Source organism: Homo sapiens, chromosome 9 (genome assembly GCF_000001405.40).
Source record: "Homo sapiens chromosome 9, GRCh38.p14 Primary Assembly".
In the NCBI taxonomy this organism is placed as follows: Eukaryota; Metazoa; Chordata; class Mammalia; order Primates; family Hominidae; genus Homo; species Homo sapiens.
In genome coordinates, this window is record NC_000009.12 from 124,227,416 (window position 1) to 124,249,446 (window position 22,031).

Sequence of the window (22,031 nt, forward strand, 5' to 3'; positions counted from 1 at the left end):
AAAAGAGAAATACATTTTGAGATAAGCAGTAAATTTGGATAATTGGTTGAGTTGACCATTTAACAAAATCTTCAAAGGATCCTTCAGATGCTAAAGTTCTGATAAGACAGAAAATTACTTTTTTTCAGAGGTTTTTAAAAACAATCAGTCTAAAAGCTAAAGTTCCCATGTGATACTGTGAAAAACATATTCATAGGATATTATTTAAGAAGAATAGACTGGGTACAGTGGCTCATGCCTATAATCCCAGCACTTTGGGAGCCTGAGGTGGGCGGATCCCGAGGTCAAGAGATTGAGACTATCCTGGCTAACATGGTAAAACCCTGTCTCTACTAAAAATACAAAAATTAGCTGGATGTGGTGGCACATGCCCGTAGTTCCAGCTACTCAGGAAGCTAAGGCAGGAGAATCACTTGAACCCAGGAGGCAGAGGTTGCAGTGAGCTGAGATCGTGCCACTGCACTCCAGTCTGGTGACAGAGCGAGACTCCATCTAAAAGAAGAAGGAGGAGGAGGAGGAGGAGGAGGAGAAGGAGAAGGAGAAGAAGAAGAAGAAGAAGAAGAAGAAGAAGAAGAAGAAGAAGAAGAAGAGGAGGAGGAGCACTAGAAGAGCAAATGTATTATGAACTTTGGACAAATTAAATAGTCCTTAAAATGGAATATAGCCATTGGAAGAATGTACATTAAACATAATTTTAAAATTTTTCTTTTTTTTTTTTTTGAGACACAGTTTCACTCTTGTCACCCAGGCTGGAGTGCAATGGCGCAGTCTCGGCTCACTGCAACCTCCGCCTCCCGGGTTCAAGTGATTCTCCTGCCTCAGCCTCCTGAGTAGCTGGGATTAGAGGTGTGTGCCACCACACCCATAGAGATGGGGTTTTGTTCGCCATGTTGGCCAAGCTGATCTCGAACTCCTGACCTCAGGTGAATCACCCTCCTCGGCCTCCCAAAGTGCTGGGATTACAGGAGTGAGCCACCATGCCAGCCAAAAAGAATATTTCTTAAACAAGTTTTTGAAAAACCAGTCAATTCGGTAATATGAGGCAGTGGTCCTTCAATGAGTTTTGGAGAACTGCCTTTTGTCCAATCGGCCTTTGAAGGTGTGGCAGCTTCCCCTACACCTGAAAGAGGTCCCACCCCAGGACACAGGCCCTGGCCTTGGGCATGGCAGGCCAGTCTCCCCCAGACCCACCCACTGACAGCCTCCCAGCAGGAGGGAACTCACACTCCTCACAACAGCACTTTGTGGTGTAAATACAAAACCCCATTTTACAGATGAGAAAATGGAGGCTTGAAGAAGTGAATTGACTTGCCCAGCGCCTCATAGTCAAAAAGTAATCAAACTGGACTTGGCACACAGGTTGACAAACCCCAAGGCCAGGATTCTCTCCTTGCTCCCCCAACCCTTGGATCTCCCACCTGCTGGCGCCAGACCTAATTAGGAGCTCTGCTGGCCCCTGAGGTGGGTTGGGAGGTGGGTGTGTCATTAGATTGTGAGATTCTGGAAGCTCCCGCCATGTGTCATTATGTCTAATTACATGAGTTCAGGCTTCTGCGTGGGCTGGTGGAGCCAGAGTGTCTCCGTGCCCAGGTGGCCAGGGAATTTCTGCAGCCAAGAAGTGGATGAGAGGCCGCTGAAGGACCCCGGTAACATGTTCCCCAAATCTCCTGGAGAAAGCCGAGTTCCAGGCCCCTCCCGGAGGCTGAAGGGTGGCCCCGATGGGGAGTTGGGGTCTCTCCATGCTTCTCGGGGTGCACTTAACCAGACTCCTACCTGGGCAGGGAATAGAGTAGAAGGAAATGGCTGCATGAGGGGCACAGCCCCTAGTCCCCTCATCCCAGCCCCAGACGGACAGACTCACACATGCATATGCACACACAAAACACAGAAACATGGTGTTGGAACAAATATCTGGACTTTTTTTTTTGGTAGATGAATCTGCTCTGTCATCCAGGCTGGAGTGCAATGGCATGATCTTGGCTCACTGCAACCTCTGCCCCCTGCTGGGTTCAAGCGATTCTCCTGCCTCAGCCTCCCAAGTAGCTGGGATTAAAGGGGCCCACCACCACACCCAACTAATTTTTGTATTTTTAGTAGAGACGAGGTTTCACCATGTTGGCCAGGCTGGTCTAACTTCTGACCTCAGGTGATCCACCCACCTCGGCCTCCCAAAGTGCTGGATTACAGGCATGAGCCACCATGCCTAGCCAAATATCTGGACCTTTGAGTAAAGAGCTGCTTACACTTTCATCAGTTCCACTGGGTGTTCACTCTGGGGGAAAGGCAAGTGAGAAGGAACATGGAATAGGGACAGAACGTGGTCACTGTCCTCCCTAGGCAGACATGGGTGAGGGAGGCGATCTTTTGCACGTGCTCATTTAATAAGCAGGTATTGGCCGGTCATGGTGGCTCATGCGTGTAATCCCAGCACTTTGGGAGGCCGAGGTGGGTGGATCACAAGGTCAGGCATTCAAGACAAGCCTGGCCAAGATGGTGAAACCCCAACTCTACTAAAAATATAAAAATTAGCCACGCGTGGTGGCGGGCGCCTGTAATCCCAGCTACTCAGAAGGCTGAGGCAGAGAATTGCTTGAACCTGGGAGGTGGAGGTTGCAGTGAGCCTAGATTGGGCCACTGCACTCCAGCCTGGACAGAGCGAGACTCCATCTCAAAAAAAAAGAAAAAAAAAAAAAAAAGCAGGTGTTGAGTGACTTCTGTGTGCCAGGCATTGTTCTAGGCATTGGGGTTATAAAATAAAGTCCCTCTTCTCAAGGGGAGAGAGACAATAACCATACACTAAATATGTAATGTACCAGATGGTGACAAGCAGAGTGAGGGTGAGGGGCCACTGCTCATAGATGATTATCTGGCTGGAGAAACAGTCAAACCTTTCCCCACTGACTTCCCAAACCCAGAGGATAGATGGAGAAACGACTTGGGGAATAGAAAAAAGGACCCACCTCCCCAGGTGCCTTCTCCTCCTTCTTCTCTTCTCCCTCTCCTCTAATGTTGTTTTTCCTTTAAACGTTACTTAAAACAGACCAGGCTCAGTGGCTCACGTCTGTAATCCCAGCACTTTGGTAGGCCGAGGTAAGAGGATCACTTAAGGCCAAGAGTTTGAGACCAGCCTGGCCAACATTGCAAAACCCTATCTTTATGAAAAATACAAAAATTAGCCAGGCATGGTGGTGTGCACCTGTAATCCCAGCTATTTGGGAGGCTAAGGCACCATAATCGCTTGATCCTGGGAGGCGGAGGTTGCAGTGAGTGGTGATCAGGTCATGGCACTCCAGCCTGGGTGACAGAGAGAGATTCTGTCTTCAAAAAATATACAAATAAATTTTTTTAAACAGTTACTTAAAACATACGGGAGGTGTAGAAAATTATATGACAAATACTCATGTACCCGCTACCCCTGTTAAAAAATGAAACTTTAGGCTCGTAAAAAAATAAAAACTGGCTGGGCGCGGTGGCTCATACCACGGCACTTTGGGAGGCCGAGGTGGGCAAATCAAGAGGTCAGGAGTTCGAGACCAGCCTGACCAACATGGCAAAATCCCGTCTCTACTAAAAAGGCAAAAATTAGCTGGGTGTGGTGGCATGTGCCTGTAATCCTAGCTACTCAAGAGGCTGAGGCAGGAGAATTGCTTGAACCAGGAGGCAGAGGTTGCAGTGAGCCAAGATCACGCCACTGCACTCCAGCGTGGGCAACAGAGCGAGACTCTGTCTCAAAAAACAAACAAACAAACAAACAAACAAAAAACTTACAAATATAATCAAAGGTCCCCATGTTAGCCAGGAAAGGCTAGGTTATGCTGTAGTAACAAACAAACCCCAAATTTCAGTTGCTTTAAACAACAAAGGTCTGCTTCTATCGCATTCTCGATCCAGTGAGGGTTGACTACATTGGGCTATGTTCATTGTAGTCTCTTAGGAACCCAGTCTGAGGGATGCTCCACTATTTATGATGCTGTGATCTCAGCAAAAGGCTTCAAGATTCACCAGGTAAGGAAGGGAGCAAGAAGACTCAGGTGCTGGCTCTTAGATGTTTCCATTTGGAAGCGGCATGTGTCAGTTCTCCTCACATTTCATTGGCTAAAGCAAGTCATGTGTCCATGTCCAGCTTCGAAGGGGAAGTGAAGTATAATCCTCTCATGTGCTCAGAAGAGAACTGACATGGTGGTGAGCATTGTTAATATCTACCGCTTTTCTTATCCCATTTCCATCTACCCTTCACTCCCAGCAATAAGACCCATCTAGAAGTTGTTATGCATCCTTTTCACCTGTGGATTTTAAAAAACTTTTAGTATGCCTGTATACATCAACAAAGAATATATAGAAAGAAAGCCAGGTGCGGTGGCTCATGCCTGTAATCCCAGCACTTTGGGAGGCCGAGGCAGGCAGATCGCTTAATGTCAGGAGTTCGAGATCAGCCTGGCCCACCTGGTGAAACCCTGTCTCTACAAAAAATACAAAAATTAGCCAGGTGTGATGGCACATGCCTGTAATCCCAGCTACTGGGGAGGCTGAGGCACAAGAATTGCTTGAACCCAGGAAGCGGAGGTTGCAGTGAGCCAAGATCGTGCCAATGCATTCCAGCCTGATTGACAGATCAAGACTCAGTCTCAAAAAAAAAAAAGTATATATATATATATATATATATATATATATATATATATATATATATAGAAAGAAATCACAAAGAAAACTAGAAAATATTTTGAGCTGAATAACAATGAAAATGTAACATATCTAAGCCTATGTGATACAGATAAAGCAATACAATAAAGGGAAAGTTATAACATTAAATGGCTTTATTCAAAAGGAAGAAAGTCCCAAAATAAATACATTTGCTAAGCTTCCACCTTTAGGAACTAGATAAAGAAGAGCAAATTAAACCCAAAGCAGGTAGAAAGAAAGAAATAATAAGATAAGAGTAGAAATCAATGACTAGAAAACAGAAAAACAAGAGAGAAAATAAATGAAACCACAAGCTGCCTCTTTGAAAACATCAACAACATTGATAAACTTCATCTTCAATCAGTAGAAAAGAGAAAGTCACGGGCCAGGTGCAGTGGCTCATGCCTGTAATCCCAGCACTTTGGGAGGCCGAGGTGGGAGGATCACGAGGGGAGGAGATGGAGACCATCCTGTCTAATGTAGTGAAACCCCGTCTCTACTAAAAATACAAAAAATTAGCCAGATGTGGTGGCGTGTGCCTGAAGTCCCAGCTACTCGGGAGGCTGAGGCAGGAGAATTGCTTGAACCCAGGAGGTGGAGTTTGCAGTGAGCCGAGACAGTGCCACTGCACTCCAGCCTGGGCGACAGAGCAAGACTCCATCTCAAAGAAAAAAAAAAAGACACAAATTACCAACAAGAAAAATGAAAGCCTGGGTGCAGTGGCTCTGCCTGTAATCCTGACACTTTGGGAGGCTGAGGCAGGAGGATTGCTTAAAGCCAGGAATTCAAAACCAGCCTGGGCAACACAGCGAGACCCTGTCTCTACAAAAAGTAAAAAAATTCGCTGGGTGTGGTGGCTCATGTTTGTAGTCTTAGCTACTTGGGAGGCTGAGGTGGGAGAATCCCTTGAGTCTAGGAGGTCAAGGCTGCAGTGAGCTATGATAGCGCCATTACACTCCAGCCTGGGTGACAGAGCAAGACCTTGTCTCAAAAAAAAAAAAAAAAAAAAAAAAAAAGAAAGAAAGAGAGGGCATCCCTACACATCCTGTGACCATTAAAAAGATAATAAGGAAGTATTGTGCCCAAAGTTATGACCACAAATTTGACAACTTAGATGAAGTGGGCATATTCCTTGAAAGACACAAACTAGCAAAGTTCTCAAGAAGAAACAAAGGGAAGCGGAAAAGATAACTATTGGGTACTGGGCTTCATAGCTGGGTGATGAAATAACCTGTACAACAAACCCCCATGACACATGTTTACCTATGTAACAAACCTTCACATGTACCCCCAAACCAAAAATACAAGTTTAAAAAAAGAGGGAAAACATTACTTTTTCTCTCTTTTAGTTTGAGAAACTAGCAGTTAATTTTTTTTTTTTTTTTTTTTTTTTGAGACGGAGTCTCACTCTGTCGCCCAGGCTGGAGTACAGTGGTGCCATCTAGGCTCACTGCAAGCTCCACCTCCCAGGTTCACGCCATTCTCCTGCCTCAGCCTACCCGGCAGCTGGGACTACAGGCACCCACCACGACGCCTGGCTAATTTTTTGTATTTTCAGTAGAGACGGGGTTTCACCATGTTAGCCACGATGGTCTCAATCTCCTGACCTTGTGATCCTCCTGCCTCAGCCTCCCAAAGTGCTGGGATTACAGGCATGAGCCACCACGCCCGGCCTAAAATTTTATTATGTGAATATGTATGTTAGTGATTTCATGTTAGCATATATGTAGCAAAACCAATAAAACTGTCATCAGCATTGAAATAATAAAATGTGTTGGCTTTTTTTTTTTTTTTGAGACAGAGTCTAGCTCTGTTGCCCAGGCTGGAATGCAGTGGCACGATCTCAGCTCACTGCAACCTTTACCTCACCAGTTCAAGCCATTCTCATGCCTCAGCCTCCCGAGTACCTGGGATTACAGGTGTGTGCCACCACGCCCAGCTGATTTTTGTATTTTTAGAAGGGACAGAGTTTTGCCATATTGGGCAGCCTGGTCTTGAGCTCCTGACCTCAAGTGATCCACTCACCTCAGCCTCCCAAAGTGCTGGGATTACAGGCGTGAGCCACCACACCCGGTCTTTTTTTTTTTTTTGTAAGACAGGGTTTCATTCTGTGGCCCAGGCTGGAGTGCAGTGAAGCAATCTTGGCTCACTGCAACCTCCACTTCCTGGGTTCAAGTGATTCTCCTGGCTCAGCATCCCGAGTAGCTGGGATTACAGGTGTGTGACATCACACCTACCCAGCTAATTTTTGTATTTTTAGTAGAGATGGGGTTTTACCATGTTGGTCGGGCTGGTCTTAAACTCCTGACCTCAAGTGATCTTTCCTCCTCGGCCTCCCAAAGTGCCAGGATGACAGGCGTGAGCCACTGTGTCCAGCCATAATATGTTTGGCTTTGAGTACACTGTTTAAATAAAGCAACACCTAAGGGTGTCACTGGGAGGTCTATGAAATAGGCTGAAGTATTAAAAACCAAGCAAAAATAGTAAGAAAAGCTGAGAAAGAAACATGGAAAGGAAAAAAAAAGGAGTGAAAAAAGATTGGCAAAGTAGTGCCTCACCAAGAAAATGTCTTTCATGCTGTTTAGTGATATTCTCGGTTAAAAATTTCTAAAAGCTGTGGAAAGCAAGTCAAATTTTGTTCTAGCCTTCTGCTGTGAAAACATTAGGTAACAAATATGTGTCAAATCTATTGTTTTCCAAAATATGGTGTTCATGCTTGAAATACGCCATTGCCAAATAAAGTCTATTTTTGATATACATAAAAAAAGAAGAAACAGAAAACCCAAATAGTCCTATACATCAATTAAGGAATAGAAATTCATAGTAAAAACTTTCTCATGAAAAAATTTCCCAGCCCAGATGGCTTCACTGGTGAATTTTATTAGTTAAATTTATTTTAAAAGAAATATTAATTCTACAGAAACTCTTCCAGAACGTAGAAGGAGAGAGCAAAACTCCTAACTAATTCTATGAACTCAGAATTACCCTGATACTAAAGCATGACAAAGATACAAGAAAAGAAAGCTATAGGCCTATATCCCTAATGAATACAGATACAAAAATCTTTAACAAAACATTAGCAAATCAAATCTAGTAACGTACAGAAAGGATAATATATGAAGACCAAGTAGGGTTTATCTCAGGAATGCAAGGTTGGTCCAACATTCAAAAATAAATCAATGTAACTCAACATATCAATAGACATAAAAAGAAAAACTATATAGTCATCCTTTTTTTTTTTTTTTTTTTTTTTTGAGACAGAATCTCGCTCTGTCGCCCAGGCTGGAGTGCAGTGGCAAGAGAAAAACTATATGATCATCTTAATAGAGGCAGAAAAAACATTTGATAAAAATTTACTCATGATTTTTACAAAAGAAATTTTCAGCAAACTGGAAATAGAAGGGAAATTTCACAATCAGATAAATAACATCTACAATAAGACCTACAGCTAACGCTATACTTAATAATGAAAGATTGCTTTCCCACTAAGATTGGGAACAATGCAAAGATCTCTACTGTTGCCACTTTTATTCAACATTGTACTAGATGTCCTAGATAGTACAATACAACAAACAAGCAAATAAATAAATATGTAAATAAATGGCAGATTGGAAAGGATTAAGTGAAACTGTGTTTGTAGAGAACATGGTATCTACATAGAAAAGTATACTACAAAGCTAATAGAAATATGTGAATTTAGCAAGGTTGTAAGATATACAGCCAATATGCAAAAGTCTATTGTATTTCTACTTAACAGTAATTTTAAAATTTAACATTGAAATTAAAAATCGGCTGGGCACGGTGGCTCACGCCTGTAATCCAGCACTTTCGGAGGCTGAGGTGGTGAATTACGAGGTCAGGAGATCAAGACCATCCGGCTGAAACCGGATGTTGAAAACCCGTCTCTATTAAAAATATTTAAAAAAATTAGCCAGGTGTGGTGGCAGGCACCTGTAGTCCCAGCTACTTGGGAGGCTGAGGCAGGAGAATGGCATGAACCCGGGAAGTGGAGCTTGCAGTGAGCCAAGATTGAGCCACTGCATTCCAGCCTGGGGGCCAGAGCAAGACTGTGTCTCAAAAAAAAAAAAAAAAAGAAGAAGAAATTAAAAACCAATACCACTTACAATAGCATTAAAAACATGAAAAGTTAAGGGACAAATATCATGAAATAGGATTTGTACATTGAAAATGGAAAATCATTACCAAGAGAAATAAAAAAAATCTAAATAAAAGGAGAGATATACAATGTTCATGATGAGAAGACTCACTACTTTAACAAAATATTAACAATTCTGAAGAATTATGTTAGTACTTTCCTAATTGATATTGCAATTTCAATCAAAATCCTGGCAGGCTTTTTTTTTTTTTTTTTTTTGGTAGATATTGACAAGCTGTTTCTAAATTATATATGGAAGTGCAAAGGACCTAGAATAGCCAAAACAATTCTGAAAAAGAAGGAAGAAGTTGGAGAACTCACATTACTTTATTTCAAGACTTACTATAAAGCTACTATACGCAAGACAGCATGGTGATAGCGTAAGCTTAGACCTATGGATCAGTGGAACAGAAATGATTCCAGAAATAGACCAATATCCATTTGGTCAGTTGATTTTTGACAAAGGAACCAAGGTAATTTCAATGGAGAAAGAATAGTCTTCTCAACAAATGGTGAAGAAACAATTAGACATCCATATCCAAAAAAAAGAACCTCAACCCTTACCTCCCACACCATGAAGAACTTCAAATGGATCATAGACTTAAATAGAATATAAACCTTCAAAGAGATAATAAAGGAAAATATCTTTGTGATCTTGATAAAGATTATTTAAACAGGATGCAAATAACATAAACCATAAAAGTCAAAAATTGAAAAATTAGCCTTCAAAATTAAAAACTTTTCCTTTATGAAAGTCACTGTTGGGAAAATAAAAAGACAAACCAAAGACTGGGAGAAAATGTCTGATAAGTAACTGGTCTCCACAATTTTAAAATAACTCATAACTCAATCGTTAGAAGACAAACTAACCAACAATAAAATAGTCAAGTACTTTGAAGAGGCACTTCTTCAAAGACATATGGACGGCAAATAAGTGCATTAAAAAAATTCAACATCATTATTCATTAGGTAAATGCAAAATAAAGCCACAATGACCAAGTGCTACACACTTATAGAATGGCTAACATTTTTAATACTAACAATACAAAGTGCTGGTGAGGATGTAGAGCAGCTAGAATATATATTGCTGTCAGGGATGCAAAACTGTACAACCATACTGGGAAATAGTTTGACAGGTTTTTTATTTCGTTAATAGATGAACCTTGAAAACATTACGCTAAGTGGAAGAAGCCAGTCACAAAAGATATATTATCTGATTCCATTTTCTGAAATTTCCAGAATGGGTAAATCCAGAGAGATAGACAGTTGATTAGTGGTTGCTTGATGCTCGGTGGGGGAAGGGATGATTTCTCTTTTGGTGACGAAAACATCTTAAAATTGACTGTGGCGATGGTTGCACATATCTGTGACTATACAACAAACAAACACTGAATTGTACTTTTTAAATGGATGAAGTGGATTGTGCGCTAATTATATCTCAATAAAGCTGTTTTTTTTAAATAAAAATATTGAGCTAGGTGAATCTTCACATTTCTCCCGCTCTCCATTTCCTATCTCCATAGTTTTTCTTTTTTCCAACAAGTATTTCTTGGCTGCTCCCAAGCTATTCATGTTTCCAGTTCTCTCTCTTCCTTTTCCCCCCTCAAATGTTCCTGCATCAGCCCATAACCTGAATGGCCAAAGAAAGGATTCTCCTGGGGAGTGGTGGGTGCAAAAGAAGCTACAAGGCAAACACAGAATTCTCGTTCTCCATGGGGCAGGCCTTGGGCCCCAGGACCAGGATTAGGTAAGGCGAGTGAGGTATCCAGGACCCAAAATAAAAAGAGGTACTCACCCAGGGCATGTAAGTGAAGGTCGGCTCCTGAGAATGGATGCATCCTTACATCTTTTTTTTTTTTTTTTTGTAGTAAAACACACATAACAGAAAATTTACCAGTTCAATCATTTTTTTTGTTTTGTTGTTGTTTTTGTTTTTTGTTGTTGATGTTGTTGTTGTTGCTGTTGTTGTTTGAGACGGGTCTCGCTCTGTCGCCAGGCTGGAGTGCAATGGCGCGATCTCAGCTCACTGCAACCTCCGCCTCCAGGGTTCAAGCGATCCTCCTGCCTCAGCCTCCCGAGTAACTGGGACTCGAGTGCTCCATCATGCCCAGCTAATTTTTTGTATTTTGGATAGAGATGGGGTTTCACCATGTTGACCAGGATGATCTCAATCTCTTGACCTTGTGATCTCCCACCTTGGTCTCCCAAAGTGCTCGGATTACAGGCGTGAGCCACCGCGCTGGGCTGGTTCAATCATTTTAAAGTGTACAATCAGTGGTTTTCAGTACATTCGCAATGCGTGGAACCAGCACAACATTGTCTAATTAAAAGATATTTTCTTTTTTTCTTTTCTTTTCTTCTTGGTTTTTGTTTTGTTTTGTTTTGAGACAAGTTCTCACTCTGTCACTCAGGCTGGAGTATAGTGGTGCAATCGCGGCTCACTGCAGCCTCAACCTCCCAGGCACAGGTAATCCTCCCACCTCAGCTTCCTGAATAGCTGAAACCACAGGTGTGTGCCACCACACCCTGCTAATGTTTAAATTATCTGTAGAGACGGAGCCTCACTATGTTGCCCAGGCTGCTCTCAATCTCCTGGGCTCAACTGATGTGTCTGCCTTGGCCTCTTAAAGTGCTGGGATTACAGGCATGAGCCACTGCACCCAGCCCCAAGACATTTTCATTACCCTAAAAGAAAACCCTTTAGTCACAAGTGTGGTTCCAGGTGTGAGCTGGCTTTGTGATCTGTAGAGCTGAGGGTAGAAGCTTCCATTTGAAACGTCTGCTCAGGTGGCTGCTGGAATGTGGCTGGACTTCAGGTAGACTATACCTTAGTTGGCCCTACAGAGGCATCTAAGAAGTTGTCCAGAATTTGAAGTTCTATAAAAGGAGACCCATTTACAATACACGCAAGGGAGCTGACTATTGAAAAGAAGCCAGCAGTGAATCCTTTGGTGTGCCTTTGTGTTGAATAAATTGGAATTTTTATAGATTGGGTTTGCAGCTCAACCAAGTTCTGAAAAGTGTGAGTCCAAACCGCATAGAGGTGAAGGTGGCAGGACTCAAGTTTCTATGGTTTTAAGGGTACAGGGACTTTCTCCTGCGCAATAATCTCATCTAAGAGAAGCCCAGGGCCTCCCACGTGGGCTTGTAGAGGGCAGGCTCCAGACTACAGAGAAAAGGGGAAACTGTGTTTTCCCCGCCCACAGAGACTGAAGGTCAGACCAGATCACGTTAAAGCAAGAAGACTTGGTATTCTTCCCTGGGGAATTTGTAGGTTACCAAGATTGGCAGGGAAGGGGAGGAGGACCAGAGATGTTCTAGAGTGTCACTCGATCCCCATGTATGGAGGGAACATTAACCCTGTGTCACGCACTTGGCACTTGGTACTTATTATTCCATTTAATTTCCCCAGCAATCCCTTCACTCACAGGCAAAGCCTGCAATTACCAACAAGGTAAAGTGGCTGACCAAGGCCACAGGCAAGTCAAGCCCTGGGGCTAGGATTGGAACCCAAATCTCATGGCTCAAGTCTTGAGGCTGACTCCACCAAGCCACTGTGAAGTCCCCCTGAGAGCAACCAAGAGCCAGGCATGTGGGGGGTAACAGGGCTAGAGAGGATGTTCTCAGTGGGCAGTGCTAATGTGACCCTGTGGGAGGGACATTCCTGTCTTCTCTTTTTGGTTTGTCTTGGAAAGTCCCACATCTTTTGCAGAACTGCTTCCTGGTATCCCTATCTGGAATTTACACCAAGGACAGCCAAAGGCCAAGACTGGCTTAGAGGCCTGAGGAGTGGGGATCAGAGAAAAGGGTCAGTCCATCCTGTGCAGCCTTCCCGGCCTGGGCCCCTGTGAGTTGATGGAGGAAATCAGTGGCCATCGTTCCCCTATCCTTATCCTGAGCAGGGGTACTGGAGGCCCTGGGAAAGCCCCCTGAGCTAAGACTGATCTTCCTTGCCCAAAAATAGCTGCCTGGGATTCAAAGAGACTGCATGGGAAGAGGAGGAACTTCAGATTCACACCTGGGTTCAAATCCTGGTTCCATCCCTTACTTGCTGTGTGACCTTGGCCAATGTCCCTCACTTCTCTGCACCTTGGTTTCTCCATCTGTAAAGTGGGATCAACCATCATCCTATGGAAGGGGCCAGTCCACAGGAAACACCTCTCATCAGGGAGTGGGAGCTGTTAGGAGGTTTCTCAGCATTCCTCTAGCTTCTAGAAGCCCCCTTCCAAGGAGTAAAACCTGTGCCTAAAGTGCTAGTGCTCTGGCCTAGGCACTGGCTTGGCCCTGGGGAGCTACCATGATGGACCAGTTATGGTCCCTGCCCTTCCGGAGCACAAAGTCTAGGGAGGAGGACAGAGCCTAAGCAGGCAGAGCCACACGTGGGATAGGGCTGCAGCAAAGGGACACACAGGGGCCCCAAAAGGGAAGGAGGATCCTGCCTGGGGTCAGGGAAGACTCCACAGGGACAGAGACTGGGGGCGAGAGTTTAAATCTTTAATAACCTGTTTGTCACAGTCACTGACCAATCAGAAAGGACACTGGCTGTAAACAATCCACAGCACCCACCAGTGTCTACCAGCTGATGATGAATGCCCTGGGAAGGGGCATTGATTGGGGTGCTGGCGGATGAATAAGAGTTCTTTCGACAAGTGGGAAGAAAGGGCACCCCAGGCAAAGGGAGCACTACGTGCTCAATCCTGGTGACAGGAAAAACCACGGCTGGAGCATAAGATGTGTTGGGGGAAGGTGGGGCATGAGAGCAGAGAGGGTCTCGAATGCCACTACATTTGGGAGACACGGTTAGGACTTCTCTGATGTGGCACTCCACACTGGTGACCCAGTTGAACAGGCACTGCAGTGAGAGTTTTCAGGGTCTGGACACGCCTCCTCTCCCAGGTCCACGACATCTACATGGGGCAGAGCTCTTACTAGGGGTCCAGGCTCAGGCTCCATTCTCTTGGGAGAGGGGCTGGCAAGGTGGGTCAGGAAGAGAGGCTCAGCCAAGGGGCTCTAGAGAGCCTTTTGAGTGGGGAAACTGAGGCCAATGCTCAGATGTATGAGTGGGATCAAATCAGTGGGAGGTGGAGACACTGGTGACCTGAGCTTCCCTGAGCTTCCCTGGCTTTGAGTCCTCCCCCTAGAGTGGCACTGAGGCCTCCTGTTAGCTCAGGAAAAACTCAGGGATGTTTTAAGGGTCAAGTTCTAGCACCAGCTCTGCTGCTGATGAGCTGTGACCTTGAGCAAGGCACAGACCCCTCTGGGCATGGGGACCCTGTTGATTGCTTCCTTGGAAATGGAAGATGTCCCAGGCTGATCCTGTTCTGCCAGCCTCCCTGACCTGGCATCATGGAGAATGTGAGGGCTTCAGATTCAGGCAGAGCTGAGTTTGAATCTCTGCTTTGGAAATGGACTGGGTGTTTGACTTGGACCAAGTGCTAAGCTCTGGGCCTTTATTTCCCCATCTACAAAACAAGGAATTGATTGGTGAGATTAGCGTTGAATGGAATAAATGAAAAACTCTGGTGGGGGGGGGCAGCTGGGCACAGTGACTCGCGCCTGTAATCCCAGCACTTTGGGAGGCCGAGGTGGGTGGATCACCTGAGGTCAGGAGTCCAAGACCAGCGTGGGCAACACGGCGAAACCCCGTCTCTACTAAAAATACAAAAATTAGCTGGGCATGGTGGTGCATGTCTGTAATCTCAGCTACTCAGGAGGCTGAACCAGGAGAATCACTTGAACCCAGGAGGCGGAGGCTGCAGTGAGCCGAGATCGTGCCATTGCACTTCAGCCTGTGTGACAAGAGTGAAACGCCTCTCGAAAATAAAAAATAAAAAAAAATAAAAAAGAAAGAAAAGAAAAAGAAAAAACTCTGGGGACTGGAGACAAAATAGTAAAAGGAGGTGGTAGAGAGCCTTGCTTCCGCCCTCACCTCCTATGAGGTGCCCTCTGCTTGCAGAATCTCTCAGCAGCCGGACTTTTGCAGAAGCTGCAGGTCAGTGGTGAGTGAGGAGGAAGGCTGTATCATTGATTGTTCTCCCAGGACACTTTGAGCATGAAAGGGGGCACCGTTAGTAATAAACAGCCATAAACCTGGGCTGTCCTAAGGAAACCAGAGTTTATGATGCCCCTGGTGATGAGTGGAGATTCAGAAATTGAAATGGAGAGGCGGAAGCGGGACACGATTGAGGAGGGATGTGAGCAGGTGCCAGGAGGCGCAATCTTTGGAGAGAGGGTGTGGTGCCCAAGCAGGCTTTGGGAGGCTTTTCTGCGGGAGGTACCGATTCGCTCCCCTCTTCTGGGTCCCAGGTGAACTTCAGGAAAGAGCAGCTTTGCTTTGCAGCAGTTTGGGAGCTGGATTGGGGCTGGATACGTTTTGTAACCTTATGCCTCTGCACGCTGGTTGGCTGCTTCACTTTTTTCTTGGTTATAACTTCCTGCAGAGACTGGTCTTCGGCTGGGAGCAGGAAGGCACTCTTAGAGTTGGGTTAGGAAAGTAAAGGCGCTTTTCCGATGCCTAGAAGGCAGTAGCTGCTTAGTAAACGTTCATCCCCTGCCATCTTAACCAGCAAGCGCCTTTGCTCTGGGACCCTGGTCCACGGTTGCTTCAAGCCCCCAGAGGAACCGCTGCCTTCATACTCCTCCAGATGGTCTAAGCCCTCCTGCCTCCCACCCCTCCCACACACGAATGCAGGAAGTCCTCTGAGAGCCTGCTGGATCAGTTTCCTTTCCGCTTCCTTTCTCTTCCTCTCCGGTGAGGGCTGGGACGCAGCTGGCGGAGTTGGGGGGGGTTCTCCCCCAGACTGCTTCTCTGCACAGCCTCCTTAACGCGTCACTCACAGGGCCTGCATTCCTCCAACTTTAATGCCTCCTCTGGGAACACAGGCTTCCAGAAACCTGAGATGACCAACCAGCCGGTGCAGGCCAGAGGGAGAAGGGCCCAGACGGTGAGGGGGAGAGTGAGGGGCTTGACTTCTGCCTTTGCTGAAAAGAGAAACCGCAGGCCTCCCCCTCCCCTTTCAGCTTATGGGACTTCTAGACCAGGGAGCAAAAAGCACTGGCTCTTGCCAAACCCACTTAGGGAGATGGAAAAGGAAAGATGGCACGATAGTTTGTAAAGGTGGAAGATCTTTTGTCACATACACCAGGTACAAAGGTTTTCATACTGGGACCCTTTACTGTCCCTTTAGGCTTCTAGAACAATAGGGCAGACTACTAGCAGAACCAAAAACAGAGAGGTGAACTAGGATTAAGTAATGGCTCCCAACAACTGCCTTGCAACTCCCAAATATTTAATAAGCAGCTCTTATTTAATAATCAGCTCCTGCCAGCCAATGTACCCCAGCTCTAGCATACCACTGGTCCTATCTATCCCCCTCTCAGGCCCTGATCACCTGAGGTAGGGAGTTTGAGACCAGCCTGGCCAACATGGTGAAACCCTGTCTCTACTAAAAATACAAAATTAGCTGGGAGTGATGGCGGGCGTCTGTAATCCCAGCTACTCAGGAGGCTGAGGCAGGAGAATCCCTTGAACCCGGGAGGCGGAGGTTGCAATGAGCCAAGATCGTGCCATTGCACTCCGGCCTGGGCGACAGAGCAAGACTCCGTCTCAAAAAAAAAAAAAAAAAAAGAATCCTGGCCACACAGCCATGAAGTAGAGGTTCAAACCCAGGCTGGTTTCACAGTATCACATCACCTCCCAAGTGTATATGGCCACGTACAGTTGGAAGCATCGCCACTCCTGCACCCTTCTCCCTGGTTAACTAGTGAAATTCTTCCCTTGGGGATTTTATTCATTCCATTGATGTAAGCCCGTCCCCACTTCACTACACTCTTGCAGTCTTAAAATTATGGCTCACTAGGCCCAAAAGGATCTTTAGAAATTAATTTGTCCAATTCTTTTCCCTATGGATGGGGAAATCGAGGTTCAGAAAGAAGACAAAACTTGCTTGTATCAGCCCTAGATCTCCTGAGGCAGAGTGCTTCAGTGCAAAGGGTCTTATCAGACAGACCTGGCCTCGAGTCCTGACTCTGACATTTACTTTCTGGGCCACCTTGGCTAGCAGACATTACTTTGCTGTTGTTGTTCTTTGTGGTATTTTTCTGAGACAAGGTCTTGTTCTGTCACCGAGGCTGGAGTGCAGTGGCATGATCACAGCTCACTGCAGCCTCTACCTCCTGGGCTCAAGCAATCCTTCCACCTCAGCCTCCCGAGTAGCAGGAACTATAGGTGTGCACCCCCATGCCTGGCTGATTTTTATGTTTTTCGTAGAGATGGGGCCTCATTATGTTGCCCAGGCTGGTCTCAAACCCCTGGGCTCAAGCAATTCTCCCACCTCAGCCTCCTCCCAAAGTGCTGGGATTACAGGTGTGAGCCACCACGCCCAGTCAAAGTCACTTTTTAATTTTTATTATTTATTTATTTATTTATTTTTGATGGAGTCTCACTCTGTTGCCCAGACTGGAGGGCAGTGGCAAAACCTCGGCTCATGGCAACCTCCGCTTCCCAGGTTCAAGTTGTTCTCCTGCCTCAGCTTCGCAAGTAGCTGGGATTACAGGCACCCGCCACCGTGTCCAGCTAATTGTTGTATTTTTAATAGGGACGGGGTTTTGCCATGTTGGCCAGGCTGGTCTCAAACTCCTGGCCTCAGGCGATCCACCCGCCTCGGTCTCCCAAAGTGCTGAGATTAGAGGTGTGAGCCACCGTGCCTGGCCTATGCTACTTTTTTGAGCCTCAGTTTCCTCATCTATTAAGTGGAGATCATAATACCTTCACTGACGGGTTGTTGTAAATATTCAAAGAGGTCCCAGGTTGGGATGCAGCAGCCTCATTCCTGGCACGCAGTGAGTGCTCAGTGCAGGCAGCCTTCCTTCTCCCCAGCAAAGGAAAATGGAATCTTAAGGCTCTGAGACCAGGGTCATTCCTTTATGGAGCCTGAGAGGGGGATAGATAGGACCAGTGAGTGGTATGCTAGAACTGGTGTGCATTGGTGGGCAGGAGCTGATTACTAAATAAGAGCTGCTTATTAAATATTTGGGAGTTGTTTTTGGGAGCTTTATACCAGCCATGGTAGGAGTATTTTACACCACAGAAATCAGCAAACTCTACAAATGAAGGATTTTATTTTTTATTTTGTATTTATTTTATTTATTTATTTATCTGTTTTTAAGATGGAGTCTCTGCTGCCCAGGCTGGAGTGCAGTGGTACAATCTCAGCTTACTGCAACCTCCACCTCCCAGATTCAAGTGATTCTCCTTCCTCGGCCTCCCAAGTAGCTGGGATTACAAGCATGTGCCACCACACCCAGCTAATTTTTGTACATATATATTTTTTTCAGTGGAGATGGGGTTTCACCATATTGGCCAGGCTGGTCTTGAACTCCTGACCTCAAGTGACAGTTTTTTTTTTTTTAAATAAAGGCCTATATGGCCGAGCACGGTGGCTCACGCCTGTCATACCAACAGTTTGGGAGGCCAAGGCGGGTGGATCACTTGAGGCCAGCAGTTTGAGACCAGCCTGGCCAACATGGCGAAACCTCGTCTCTACTAAAACTACAAAAATTAGCTGAGTGTGGTGGTGCATGCCTGTAATTCCAGCCACTAGGGAGGCTGAAGCAAGAGAATCACTTGAACCCAAGAGATGGATCAGTGAGCTGAGATTGTGCCAGTGCACTGCAGCCTGGGTGATGGAGTGAGAGTATCTCAAAATAAATAAAAATAAATAAATACATAAAAGCCTATAGTGTGGAATTTTTATTTTATTTATTTATTTTTTGAGACGGAGTCTTGCTCTGTCACCCAGGCTGGGGTGCAGTGGTACGATCTCGGCTCACTGCAAGCTCCACCTCCCAGGTTCATGCCATTCTCCTGCCTCAGCCTCTGGAGTAGCTGGGACTACAGGCGCCCGCCACCATGCCCAGCTAATTTTTTGTATTTTTAGTAGAGACGGGGTTTCACCGTGTTAGCCAGGATGGTCTCGATCTCCTGACCTCGTGATCCGCCCACCTCGACCTCCCAAAATGCTGGGATTACAGGTGTAAGCCACCGTGCCTGGCCTATGATATGGAATTTTTCAGTGGTAAGAAGTGATAGAGGGGATCATTATGGTAGTCAACCAAAAAAAAAAAATTACAATGTATAAATTTGGAAAAGGAGAGGAGACTTTGTTTCTTATAAAGAGTTACAGCCTGCAAAGGGGCCATCCCACAAGCAGGGAAATGTGTCTTTGGATAAGACCAGAGACTGTTACTTCGAAGGAGGAGGGGTTGGGGTAGATGCTTGATGCTAAACAGGTTGCCTAAAAACACATATATTTAACAGGTTACAAAAGAATATTTATGAAGGTGGTCATGACACATGTGAATTGAACAAACAGGTATGTAACATAGGACCCATGTTCATTTCGGGATGGAGACTTAACAGTTAAATGTATTATAATTAGGCCCTATAAGTCAAAAGGTCTTTTCGGGACACAAGGCACACAAGTGTACCATCTCCATAAACCTACCAGGGCCCGTCTACAGTCGGTGGTCTTTTTATCAGGAGAAAGTTACTGAAGTTAGTCTCTTGTCTAGTGAAAGTTGTAGTTGTGGTTGGTGGACCAGTAAGTCAGTATTTGTGAGTTGGATGAATTGCAATTGTTTTAATATTAATGTTATTTTGAGGCCGGTGTTTGTTTAGTTGTCAGAGAAAAAGACAAAGCTTGTGGCAGTTAAAACACAGTTTATTTTTTAACTGTAGGGTATTTGACTTAACCCGAGCCTGGGATGGCCTTAAGTCTTGTTTATAATTTTTTTTTTAATAGGGTCTCACTCTTTTGCCCAGGCTGGAGTGCAGTGGCATAATCTTGGCTCACTGCAACCTCCGCCTCCTGGTTCAAGCAATTCTCCTGCCTCAGCTTCCCAAGTAGCTGGGACTACAGGCACGTGCCACCACACCCAGCTACTTTTTGTAGTTTGAGTAGAAATGGAATTTTACCATGTTGGCCAGGCTGGCCTCAAACTCCTGACCTCAAGTGATCTACCCACCTTGACCTCCCAAAGTGCTGGGATTACAGGCGTGAGCCACGATACTCGGCCTATAATTTGGTATTTTGTTGTTACTAAGAGTCTGTTTTGTCAGTCTTAATGATCTCTATTTTAACATTAATGTTGGAGGTGGGACAGGGTGGCTCACACCTGCCTGTAATCCAAGCACTTTGGGAGGCTAAGGTGGACAGATCACTTGAGGCTAGGAGTTCAAGACCAGCCTAGGCAACATGGCGAAATCCCGCCTCTACCAAAAATACAAAAATTAGCCGGATGTGGTGGCTCACACCTCTAATCTCAGCTACGTGGGAGGCTGAGGCATAAGAATCACTTGACCCTGAGGCAGAGGTTGCAGTGAGCTGAGATCACACCATTGCACTCTAGCCTGGGCAACAGATCAAGACTCTGTCTCAAAAAATAAATAAATAAATAAATAAATAAATAAGTGACTCTGGGGCTTGCTGTGCTAGCCAAATGTATCTGCATGTCTGCTATGAATTGCAGCTTTCCTACGTCCCAACTGTGTGACCTTGGGCGAGTCACTTTACCTCTCTGAACTTTTTCTGTGTGTGTGGTGGGGAAACTGAGGCAAATTCCCAGCTATCTATGTATCTATAAAGGATAACCCTGACACTCGCCTCATAGGCTTGTTGGAATAATGAAATGAGATGACGTATGGAAAATGTGAAGTGCTAGGCTCTGAGCTTGATGAACAATTGGTATTGATATTATTTCAGCCACATGCTGGTTCAGTGTCTTCCCATACAGAACTGTAACCTGGTGAGAAAGATGTTAACACCTACAGTTTCCTAATGAGGCTCCAAGGCTCTGAGAAGTAAAGTGACTTGTTCAAGGCCATAGTGCTAGAAGGTGGCAGAGCCAAGCTTTGAACCCTGGTCTGATTGGCTCCAAGGCTGGGGCTCTGCCAAGACTCCCTGGCCTCAGTCCAGTTCTGGGGGTGCTGACTGCAGAGCAGTGGTTGTGGTATTTGGCCACAGGCTGCAGGCAGAATGTATATGGCCAAATGGCCACCTATCCCAGGGGCCTGCCTGAGCAACTCGTCTCGATCCTGAAGTCTGCAGCTTTGAGCCATGCAGCTCACACATGCCTCCTTCTTTGAGGGCTCCGGAGCCCCACATTTACTGCCTTTCCTCCAGTGTGCCTCTCTAGCCACTCATCCTGTTTCAGGGGAATCACCCCAAAACAGCAAGCACAACCCCCAACCAGGTCCCTCAGAATACCATTTGAATGGTGGAAGGGGACTTTCTTTTTTTTTGAAACAGGGTCTCACTGTGTCGCCCAGGCTGGAGAGCAGAGGCGAAATCATAGCTCACCGCCACCTCAAACTCCTAAGCTCAAGTGATCCCCATACCTCAGCCTCCCGAGTAGCTGGAACCACGGGCACGTGCCACTATGCACAGCTAATTTATTTTTTTCTTTTGTTTTTCTCTCTTTTTTTTTTTTTTGTAGAGATGGGGCCTTAATATGTTGCCTAGGCTGGTCTCAAACTCCTGGCCACAAGCCACCCTCCCACCTCGGCTCCCCAGAGCAATGGGATTTCAGCCATAAGCCACCATGCCAGCCCTAATTTTCTTTCTTGATGATGGGTTAGACCCTGGCCACTTACAGTCCTGGTATGGAGGGCAGGTTTGGGGCTGAGGGGAGGGAGTAGCAGTACCCAGACCCTGGCAAGCCCCTTCTTGAAGAATCTTCTCTGATTCCCTGCCCCTGCCCTCTTCCTACCCGCTCCCATACCTGTTTTGCCAGGTTTCTCCTCTGGTTCCTTTTCCCCACTCCACCCCCCAAGACAAGCCTGGCGTGTCCTGATGCCTGGAAAAATTACACCCATTCCCAGCCAACCAGGGCCAGGGCTGAGAAACCCACAACCAAATGCCTGCCTCTTCCTTCAGAACAGTTGCTTCACATTTGGGATTTGGGGTTGATGGACAGATGATGTCATCGGCCCCAAATCCAAGGGGCCTCTTGCCTCCATCTGCTCTGAGAGCAGCCAGCCCTACTGGGCATGCAGAGGAGGCCTCGAGCTCACAAGAGAGACTCACTCCAGCCACATCAGCCAGGAGTTTCAGGAAGGGTGTCTGGGCCCCCTCACTCATCTCCAAAGCCAAGGGGTTACCTGGACACCTGGAGAAGAAATGTGGCCAGGGTGGGA

At 45.9% G+C, this 22,031-nt stretch overlaps 4 annotated features.

Moving 5' to 3' along the window:
- Positions 12,309-12,358: an enhancer, noted in NCBI's record as "active region_28969". NCBI's record gives its function as "activates an Ori minimal core promoter by ATAC-STARR-seq in GM12878 lymphoblastoid cells {active_cell/tissue: GM12878}" and the evidence as "EXISTENCE:reporter gene assay evidence [ECO:0000049][PMID:35858748]".
- Positions 12,489-12,538: an enhancer, noted in NCBI's record as "active region_28970". NCBI's record gives its function as "activates an Ori minimal core promoter by ATAC-STARR-seq in GM12878 lymphoblastoid cells {active_cell/tissue: GM12878}" and the evidence as "EXISTENCE:reporter gene assay evidence [ECO:0000049][PMID:35858748]".
- Positions 15,104-15,620: an enhancer, noted in NCBI's record as "H3K4me1 hESC enhancer chr9:127004798-127005314 (GRCh37/hg19 assembly coordinates)". NCBI's record gives its function as "activates a minimal SCP1, AML or CMV promoter by ChIP-STARR-seq in primed H9 embryonic stem cells {active_cell/tissue: H9 hESC(primed)}" and the evidence as "EXISTENCE:reporter gene assay evidence [ECO:0000049][PMID:30033119]".
- Positions 15,621-16,137: an enhancer, noted in NCBI's record as "H3K4me1 hESC enhancer chr9:127005315-127005831 (GRCh37/hg19 assembly coordinates)". NCBI's record gives its function as "activates a minimal SCP1, AML or CMV promoter by ChIP-STARR-seq in primed H9 embryonic stem cells {active_cell/tissue: H9 hESC(primed)}" and the evidence as "EXISTENCE:reporter gene assay evidence [ECO:0000049][PMID:30033119]".